This window comes from Homo sapiens, chromosome 4 (assembly GCF_000001405.40).
Source record: "Homo sapiens chromosome 4, GRCh38.p14 Primary Assembly".
NCBI classification, from domain to species: Eukaryota; Metazoa; Chordata; class Mammalia; order Primates; family Hominidae; genus Homo; species Homo sapiens.
This window is the reverse complement of record NC_000004.12, coordinates 157,509,411-157,519,684: the sequence shown is the minus strand read 5'-3', so window position 1 is coordinate 157,519,684 and position 10,274 is coordinate 157,509,411. Positions and strand designations below refer to the sequence as shown.

The following is a 10,274-nucleotide window of genomic DNA, read 5'->3' as shown; positions in this document are numbered from 1 at the left end:
ACTGAAAACAAGTAAAGAAGCCTCTTTTTTCTACTTAAATCAAAGAGTAACTTAATTTTTTTATTTTCTATCACAAATATACATATACTTAACATTAAACTCTCTTTAGGATGATATGAATATGTTTATTTAGTATAATTATAATATGCTCTTGATTCAAATGACTTTAATATAAGCTGTATGTGTTCCCCTGACCTAATATATGTAGTTATACACACATAAATGCATACACAAACACACAAGCATATCTTTATAATAATGTAGCCAAAAATATATATGTACATATATATACATATAATTGATTGCTTTGTTAAATTTGATTAATTTTTTTAGTTAGAACATCAATTTTCCAACTCATTAGGTAAATATTAGCCAATTCAATCAGATCGGGCTAAGGTAAGAGAAAGTACAGGGAGGTGTAGGAAAATAGTTCCAGCAAAATAAACCACGTAACAGAGTTACAGGAATGAAAAGTCTTGGGGTAACTGAGCAACTAGAATCATAGTCACTCTTCAGTAGACAGTTCAGTTCATGATAAAACATAGGACAAGTAAAAGAAAAGAAGAGTAAGTAAGGCTGCTCTTGTATGCATGTGGGTAAGGGGTACAAGTTGATTTATTTAATAAAATAATTCATATCAAAGCCAGGACTAAATGCTCGCTGTTTCTATTATTCTAACTGAGAAAACCTAATTTTTCTTCCTTTTAATGAGAGGGATTAATCTTTCAGTAGACCCCAGAAGGGAGAACAAAGAATAACAAGTAGAAATGACAGGGAGGTAGATTTCAGGTCAAACCAAGGAAGAGTTACAGCAATTACAACTATACAAAATCGAAATGGCTCACATTAATATTACTAACAACCAACTTTACATGGTGCTTTGCAGTTTACAAACCATGTTCACATGTCCTTTTTTGTATCTAGAAAGAGCTTGGTGGCAGGCACTATGCATGCTGTGCAAATGTTAATGAAACATAGTCTCTTACTCCTGAGGGTGTCGATGTTTTCTAAATGGATGATGTGCCAGAATACCCTCAAATCACAATACTACTTATAAATTTGATTCTTATGGGAGGATTTTTGTCTGGACAACGTCATGAAGAGCTTGCTGGTAAGAAATCATTGTTTCCACAGCCTGGTCAATCCCTTCAGGAATCAGTCCTGTCAGGCAGATTTTTTTTTTCATTATCTCCATTTTATACAACAGGGAATTAGAGAGATTAAGTTAATTCTCTAAGTCATATCTAGGAAAGATGGAGTAAGGACTTAGTCACAGAACTAATACCAAATCTATGATACAATGATTTCCTTGGCACTGATGTAATTCAAAAAGAGGCAAGAAATCAATTTCTGAGGAGTTTTTAGAAGAGACTTAACTATGAAATATAAGTTGGACGTTTAGCTTGCTTTAAACTAAGAAATTAATAATTTTATCATCCTTGAGATTTAGCAACAATTCCAATCCAAATGAAGACTTTGAGTTTTTTCAAATTAATGTCGCATATTTATATCTCATCTCCCCTGTGTTGAAAATCTTGATTCTTATCAATATAAACAGATTCACTTATTTGCTTTTTTTCCAGCTGTATCAAGTCACATAAAAAGCATAATACAAATATTACTTTTTTTTTTTTGAGACACAGTTTTACTCTGTCTCCAGGCTGGAGTGCAGTGGTGTGATCTCGGCTCACCGCAACCTCCACCATCCAGGTTGAAGTGATTCTCCTTCCTCAGCCTCCCGAGTAGCTGGGATTACAGGCATGCACCACCACACATCTGGCTAATTTTGTACTTTTAGTAGAGATGGGATTTCTCCATGTTGGTCAGGCTGGTCTCAAACTCCTGACCTCAGGTGATTCGCCCACCTCGGCTCCCACAGGCATCAGCCACCACACCCGACCAAATATTATTATACGTCCTGGCTCATGCCTGTAATCCCAGCACTTTGGGAGTCTGAGACAGGTGGATCACAAGGTCAGGAGTTCAAGACCAGCCTGGCTAACACAGTGAAACTCCGTCTCTAGTAAAAATACACAAATTAGCCCAGCATGGTGGTGCTTACCTGTCATCCCACCTACCTGGGAGGCTGAGGCAGAAAAATTGCTTGAACCCAGGAGCTGGAGGTTGCGGTGAGCCGAGATCGCACCACTGAACTCCAGCTTGGGCAACAAAATGAGCCTTCATCTCAAAAGAAGGAAAAAAATATTAAAAATTGAGTAAAGATTAAGTTTTTACAATTCTTTTCTCCTTGTAAGGTATTTATTTAGAAGTTCTGTGTTCAAAATCACTAGGCACAATTTTATTTTTCTGTGTGATGTGGTACAGTTTAGTATGTAGTTCATTTTTGTTTCTATTTCTTGTTAATGTTGCAGTGCGCTCCTCCCCTTTAAATTTTTGAATAAAAATATAAAGTGTACAATTTAAATACATTGCTGGTAGCAATATAAAATGGTATAAACCCTACAAAGTTGAATTAGCGGTATTTAGCAATTTATGTGTATATTTACCTTTGCCTCAGCATTCTCACGTGGAAGAATCTATCCCAAAGAAACGCTGCAAAAATAACTAATAATTTGTCCATAAACTTATTTATTATAAAATTCTTTATAAAAGAAAAAGAATTGAAGACATCAGATCAAAATAAATAGAAAGTTAACTAAATAAAGTACAACAATATGTAAGAGTTCCTTTTCCCTACAGCTTTGTGAATGGAGTATGTTTCCAAAGTTTTGGATTTTTTCCAAGCATCCGAGATATGAGTTATAGCAGCAGAGTATAGTTTTAACTTGCATTTTCTTTAGGAGTAAAGTGAAGCAGAATTTATAAGTGCAAATGTTGTTTGTATTTTCTTTTCTGTGAGCAGTTTAGTCAGAGCTTTTGTTCATTTTTCTATTCCATTGTTGGTTTTATCTTCCTGTTTTTTAATAAAACCTTATAGACATATTAAGTGATAGCACTTTATCTATACAATATGTATAAATATTTCCCCAGTTTTCAATTTACCTTTTGATGTTGCTTGTGAAAAGTTGGATTTTCAAACATTTTATTTATTTCTGTGTTTCAACCATACAGTCAAGTTTGTCACTCTTTTTTATTGTTTATGGATTTTGAGTCATAGTTACGAGTTTTCCACACTCTGTCAGATATGAGACTGGGGCCATTTCCTCCCATGATTTTCTAATGACCCACTAATGACTTCAGACCCATGATCTTTCTTATCTGACTTTAATTGATCAATAAAGCTTTCCACTTGAAACTTGGGCTTTGGAGTAATAATAAATTTTTCAATTAAACCACCACATTTTAAAATAAGTTTGGAGCTGGTTTGTTAACAGAAAATGCTAATTAATACATTGTCCAATGCTCCTAGTTACATTTGCTTAAAAGTCCATTTTTTTCCCCTGCCAATTGCCATGTTATCTTTATCGTATACTACATTCACATAAAAAGTTGGGTCTATTTGGGATTGGTCTGTCTGTGTATATGTGCTGCATTAATACACACTGTGAAATACAAAGGCTTTTTACATGTTTTAAAATCTATGATTGCTTTTTAGAATTATGTCACTTTTTAAATAGTAGTAAAACTGTAATGGAGCTCCTCTTTTTGATTGAATAAATTAATATTATAGAAATCATAATTTCAAAAAAATTTATGTCATTGAGCAAGATAGTGAAACAGGAAGTCTCAAGCTCCACTTCCCTCCTCACAGAAAGTTCATCTAGCAACTATCCACAGACCAGAATATCTATTTGAAATACTTTGAAACAAGCCTGAGACACCTGCATGGCCTGCAGAAATGAATGAAAACCAAATTAGAAGAGTAAGAGTAAGAACGGTATCACACTGACCACGCTGCCCCTGCCGCTCCCCAAGTTGGCACCACCCCAGGAGAGGATTTCCCTGGACCTACGGTTTCCACAGGGGAAGAGAGAAGTGGAAGCAGTCACTCAGCTTCCCTAGCATTTTGAAACGCTTCCCAGGAAGACCCCTCCAGTCTCAAATCAGAGAAACACTGCGGGTAAGGGCACTGCTCCATTGCCTAGGGTCAGGTAAAAACGAAGAAGGGAGGCAGAAGTCATATTCCCCAGCCTGCGGAACTTGGTGGCACCTCCATACTCCTGCCAGCTGTACCACCCGACTGGAGATATCAGCCAACTTCCCAGCCCATCCCCAAAGTTGGACCGGTCGCCTTCAGAAGCACGGTGGGAAGTTCAACCCACTTGAGTCCCTAGATGACTAGTCTGCACGCCCAGCCTCGGAGTCCACCCCACAAACCCCGCTTAGGGAGGGTGATGTCCGCCTCTGCCCATTTTGGTGAAGCACAGGAGCTAGACCTGACTGACTGGGGAATTCAAGCAGCAGCTCCACTCAGCCAAAATGTCCACTTGCCAAGGCATTCAGAGAGACGCTGAGGCTAGACCTGCTTCACCAGGGAGGTTAAACAGCCAATGAACTCAGTCAAAAGCCCACCCCACGACTCCTCCCTTACAGGGAGGCAATGCTCAATCGTGCATTTCTAAAGAGCATAGCATCTGGCCCTTCCGTCCTTAGCACTGACTCTGCCTAACTTCGGGGTCCCGCCTGCAGCCCACCTAACTGCAGATCTCAAATCGCAGAACTGCTCAGCCAGAAAACACATCTTTTGACCCACCTGACCACAAACCATCACAGTACCCAGCCAGGAGCTCCGCCTGGTGGCAGAGCCCAGCCAGTGGCCTCAGCAGGAAGGGGCCCAGAGAGCAAACCCACCCAACATTAGAAAAAAGGCAACCAGAAAAATCCACAACAAGCTCTGCCTGCCCTGAGTCATCATCAGGCAGCCCTTCCAAAATCCAAGGCTATACTAACTAGAGAAGGCCTATCCCTGCTGAACACCTATAAAGACCAGAAGAGGGGGCTGTCTGTTATGACTTTTGATATATATATTGACAGATTTGCTTTGACATATTTTTACAAATTTGTATATGCCCTTAAAAATGTATGAAAGCTTCCAGTTCTCCCTTCATTTCACTTCATTTCTCCTTACCATGTGAATTATAAACATATATGTTTTAAAAATTGTTCCAAAAATAGGCCAGGTGCGGTGGCTCACGCCTGTAATCCTAGCACTTTGGGAAGCCGAGGTGGGCAGATCGCAAGGTCAGGAGTTTGAGACCAGCCTGACCAACATGACGAAACCCCGTCTCTACTAAAAATACAAAAATTAACTGGGCGTGGTAGTGAGCGCCTGTAATCCCAGCTACTCAGGAGGTTGAGGCAGGAGAATCACTTGAAACTGGGAGGCGGAGGTTGTAGTGAGCCGAGATTGTGCCATTGCACTCCAGCCTGGGTGACAGAGTGAGACTCTATCTCAAAGAAAAAAAAATTGTTCCAAAAATAATAGGTCATAAAATAATGGCAACGACTTTCATTTACATTTGTGGGTGGGAGGTGGGTTGAAAGAATCAGGAAATGTGAGGCCAAAGGTGGTGGCTCATATCTGTAATCCCAGCACTTTGGGAGGCTGAGGTGGAAGGATTGCTTGAGGCCAGGAGTTTGAGACCAGAGTAGGTAACATGAAGAGACCCCCATCTCAACAACAAATAAAATAATTAGCTGGGTGTGATGGTGCACACCTGAAATCCCAGGTACTCAGAAGGCTAAGGAGGGAGGATCCCTTGAGCCCAGGATTTCAAGGCTGCAGTGAGCGATGATGGCACCATTGCATGCCATCTGGGTGACGGAGAGAGACCTTGTCAAAATAAATAAATACATAAAGTAAATAAAATAAAAATAAAAAAACTAGGAAATGTGAACAGGGTAGTAGGGATAAATGTGAGTAAAACTTCTTTTGGTTTAACTTTTTATTGATATGGTTTTGACTCTTAGAACTATGATAATTTTTCACATACCCTCTCACACCTCCCCCAAAATTGTCACATAAATTGAGATGTGGAGAGAAATGAATGTAGAATGCAAAAAGTAAAATTAAGCCTAACTGTATCACAAACAAATTACATAACCATTCTGAGAGAAATGGAGAACAAAAGGACTAACTTAAATGACTTTGGTAAACAGTATCTAGATTTTCATATTGTAAGGCTAAAGACAAAAAGAAAAACAAACCTGTACACAAGTTTTATAATCTAGTTAGCATTTTTTATGGGAATATGAGCAAGCAAATATCAAACTACATTATGCCAATAGGTAAATATATTGTGGATGATGCGGGCCAGATTTCTCACTGCCAGGGAAAGGAGTTATAAATAAGGAAAGAGGAGAGGCTATAGGATTAGTTTAACTAACTAGTGATTTAACTCTACTTAATAAGTACTAAAAATAGATCAATGTCAGTAAGAAAGACATAAGTTGAGTTCTGTTAATAATAGTGTATTATCATATATTAATAATATATTTCACCACATGTTGTTATTGATAGCTTGAAAAAGGACATTGATGGACTGCATATCAAATTTTCTGATGACAGGAAAAAGCATACATAGTACATATGCTAATTGACATATTACTTGATGCTTTTACAACAAAGCTATTGCTAAAGAAAAAATTATTCTGACATTTGTTAAAATAGGAAGAAAGACTTTATTCAGGATTATTCTGATGGGTGTCAAGACTAACACAACAGGTGAAAGAGATCAGGCTCAATTCTGAATACAGTAAAAACAGGTGGAGATTTATAGCCAATGAGAAGAGTGAAGGGGTCAGTGGATGGAAAATTACTAAGAAAAGACACCAAGGGTAGGGGGATCCTTGCTAAAGACAGGGCAGGGTGATCAGATAACCAGGGTGTGGGATGAGGAATTTGACCAAATATTGAGAATAATCACATATCAAGAGTGGCAGGTTTTCTCTAAATTAACTAAAATAGGAATCTTTCTAAAACGAAGCTATGCAGGACTAGCAAGGATAGGAGTCAAGGTGAAGGCCCAGTAGAGAAAAAAGTGCAGAGGAGCCTCACAAATGTTGGGTCAAAGAGAGTCTGTCACTGTTATTGCTCCAAAAGTCTCTAGTATACAGATTTAAATGATAAAAAAATAAAATGGGAAAATTAAAAAAAAATGATTATTTCATTTGTCACATGGAACAAAAACCAAATATGCTCAGATGAAAAATATTTTCTAACAGCTATCATAGATAACAGTAAGTGCTCTTATTCAAAAATATTATTTATATATTGTTCAACATTGGCTGTTAAATAAAGGATCACTGTTAATGATTATAAGTACTAGCAGAGTTCACAGAAATGGGAGATGGGGTGTTTGTACCACAAAAGTCTGTATTGTTCAGGGAGGACGTGAATTGTGTAGGTGGAAATGGGATTGTGGAGAGATCTAGCTCCTGTTTAGGGTCACAACTTTATGCAAGATCCAAGAAAGGATGCAGGTGAATTTAAGACTATAAAATGGATAGTTTTGAAGTTGTTAATAATTTTTACAGTGAACAACTAAAATAGTCAGAGAAATATACTTGTTTCTAACTCAGCTAGGAAAATAAGTACTTTGAGGTATATCATGCTGGCTTACCCTCCCTTTCCTCATAGAAGTGGGTGTAAGAGACATTGGATATAGAGGGGTTTGGTGAGCAATTACTCATAATTTGTGCACACATGCATGCACACACACATAAGCAACTGAGTTTGTCTGACTCAGGTCATTTAATATTATACTGTTCTGCCTATTACCACTAGTTTACTGGCTGCATGTGCTTTTAAATAAAATTTTCCTCCAATTCATAGAAAATCTATAAAAAATGAGGGATTTAAAAAACTCATCTCGGTATAATATAAGCTATTGGAAATTCTTAATTTAAACAAGTGGAGAGATCAATTATCATGTCATTATGTCAAGATACTGCATCAGAAATATTTCATACAAATTTTCCATTGGGTAGCAAATAAATAGATAGTTATAATGGAACTCTAGTTAGTCTATCAGCCAGAGTTCAGTTAATAAAAGAGAAGTTACAAAAATATTTCAGTAAGTAAAACATTTATTATTATTAGATAGCTACAAAACCGTGGGACAGACTTAAGCCTGAAGGTCTGTGAGAGCTGCTTCTAGCTCTCAGATCTGCTGCTAACTTTTAGAAAATCCGAAACTTACAGAAACTACTAGCAATTTGGGAAACTGCTGGCAACAATCCCTCCTGCCTTCTGTACTCAGGTAAGCGATTTCTAGAAAAAGGCTGAAAGATCTTTGCGAAGTACTATGTTCGCCTAGGAACATCTAATTTGTTCAGTTCTGATAAAAGAATGGGTAATGTTTTCATTCTTTCTTCCAGATCTCAGGTAAGAGCTTCTACTTGGTAGAATCTAGTCTAGCACTCTTGAGCACGGCTCTGTAATAGAAGGAAGACGTTAGATGTGGAGAGGTGGTGTCAAAAATAATCTGGGACTATTAAAATATTATATCTTGGGTTCTGAGAAAGGTAAAGATAGTTAAAGTGGAAAAAGAGGCATTGTTATTATATACAGTAATACCGTGGGAACAATTCTAAAGCATTTTTAATAAACTTGGTCACACACACTGGTTACTGTCATAGAATAAATATGAACTACATCACAGTGTATATAATGCTACTAATTAGCCTGGATAATACTTATATTATGTCAACTTTTCAATTACGTCTTGATGATAGAGACTTATCATAAACATTTGTCCATTGCAGTCCCCTAGACTGGTGTCTTAAAAATGGATATTTAACATGTATTTGCTGAGAAATATATACACTTTTATTTAGTTAGAGAAGCTGTGATAAAATATGTCATCCACAAACCTGTCTCCTGTCTTCCTTTCCCTCCCTGTCATTTCTTTTTATATTGCTAAGAGATGTTGCTAAGAGCTGATTTCCACTGAGATTAGGAAGTATACAAGAATATTATGTTGTTTTAATAAACACAAAATTGAAAATCAGACAAATATAGGAAAATACAATTGATTCAAAGAGTTTAAAAAGTATCCTTAAAAATAAAATGCAGAAAGGGAAAAGTGGAAAAAAGGTATCAAGTTATATTCTACAAATAAAAAATGGCAATACCTAAATAATTCTAATAAGAATATTCTCAATTTAGAAAAAAACTTAAAATTTTCTTTTTACCAGTTGAAACAGGTAAAAAGCATTGGAAAAACTTATAAACCCCCAAAATGAACCTATCAAAGTTACCCGTGAATTACCTGGATGTAATCTTAAGAAATATAATGGTTTCAGATAACTTTTACATGGGTCAACAGTGATGTGGCAAACAGAAAATCTCCTGGAGTAAAGGCTGAAGGAAATTCAGCTTACTAAAAGGACATAGAAAGACAAAACATATAAATTTTGCTCTAGGACTTTCTAGCTGTGGCACTATGCACGTGTGTGTGTGTGTGTGGGTGGGTGGGTTTCTTCTCTAGAGTTCCATAATAATTTCTATCTATACTAAAGAGGTATGATTCTGAGTACTTTGCTGAAACTATCCTCATGCCGTGTTAGCGATACTAATCCTTCAGCTCTTCCACTGTTGATGTCCTGGTACAAGATTAGCTGTTTACAGTAAATTTTTCGGTATTAACTGTTTTACTGGAGAAATACACTAATATATGAGATAAGGATGCTTCCATGCAGTTTCAATTTCTTCAAACTACGTTATCTTGGGATAGGTGACAATTTTGAGAAGGAAGAGTAATGTCACAAGCCAAACAAAAATTTTTGCTTTGAAATAACAATTTCTAATAAGTAATTTGATAGAGTATATATGAATACAAGCATATATTTCGGAATTGGACAAAATGTGTCTGAATGTCATCATAAAATACAAGAAAAAATGACTTTTGTTTGCAGTTTTGCTAACTCAAATGTCATATTGTAGACTAGTCTGAGAAGTTCCAATTTCAGTCATCAAAGAGGAAAGACTGTCATCAGTAAAATGATGGTGGTAAGGTGGTAAAGCACCTATGTTTCTGTCCTCTTCTCCACTCAGGACTCATTCAAACTTAGTAAGTAAAACAAGAAATAGAACACAGTAGTGCAGGAGACATCTGCAACCACAAAACAGCATATGTAAGGAAAAGCTGCCAAGTGTGTGAAAATGTGACAAGAGTGTGGCAAGATACCAGGAGGGGACACCATTGGTGCTGTGTTTAGACAAAGCAGCAGTGTGCAGCTCGGCAGATGCAAACTCTTAATCAGAAATAGAAGCGTCCAAAGATATTGTTGGTAGGCATTACCCTGGGGTGTTTCCGGTAATAGAAAAAGGAGAGGAGGCAGGGTACATGGGGAAACAGACATGTCATTAT

At 37.1% G+C, this 10,274-nt stretch overlaps 1 long non-coding RNA gene across 1 annotated transcript; it reads left to right on the top strand.

Moving 5' to 3' along the window:
• The first annotated feature begins 961 nt into the window (after nt 1-961).
• LOC107986238 (uncharacterized) lies at nt 962-4,993 on the top strand. The gene is made up of 2 exons (XR_001741526.1): nt 962-1,111; nt 3,713-4,993. It is a non-coding gene; the product is annotated as an uncharacterized LOC107986238 (long non-coding RNA).
• The last annotated feature ends 5,281 nt before the right edge of the window (nt 4,994-10,274 follow it).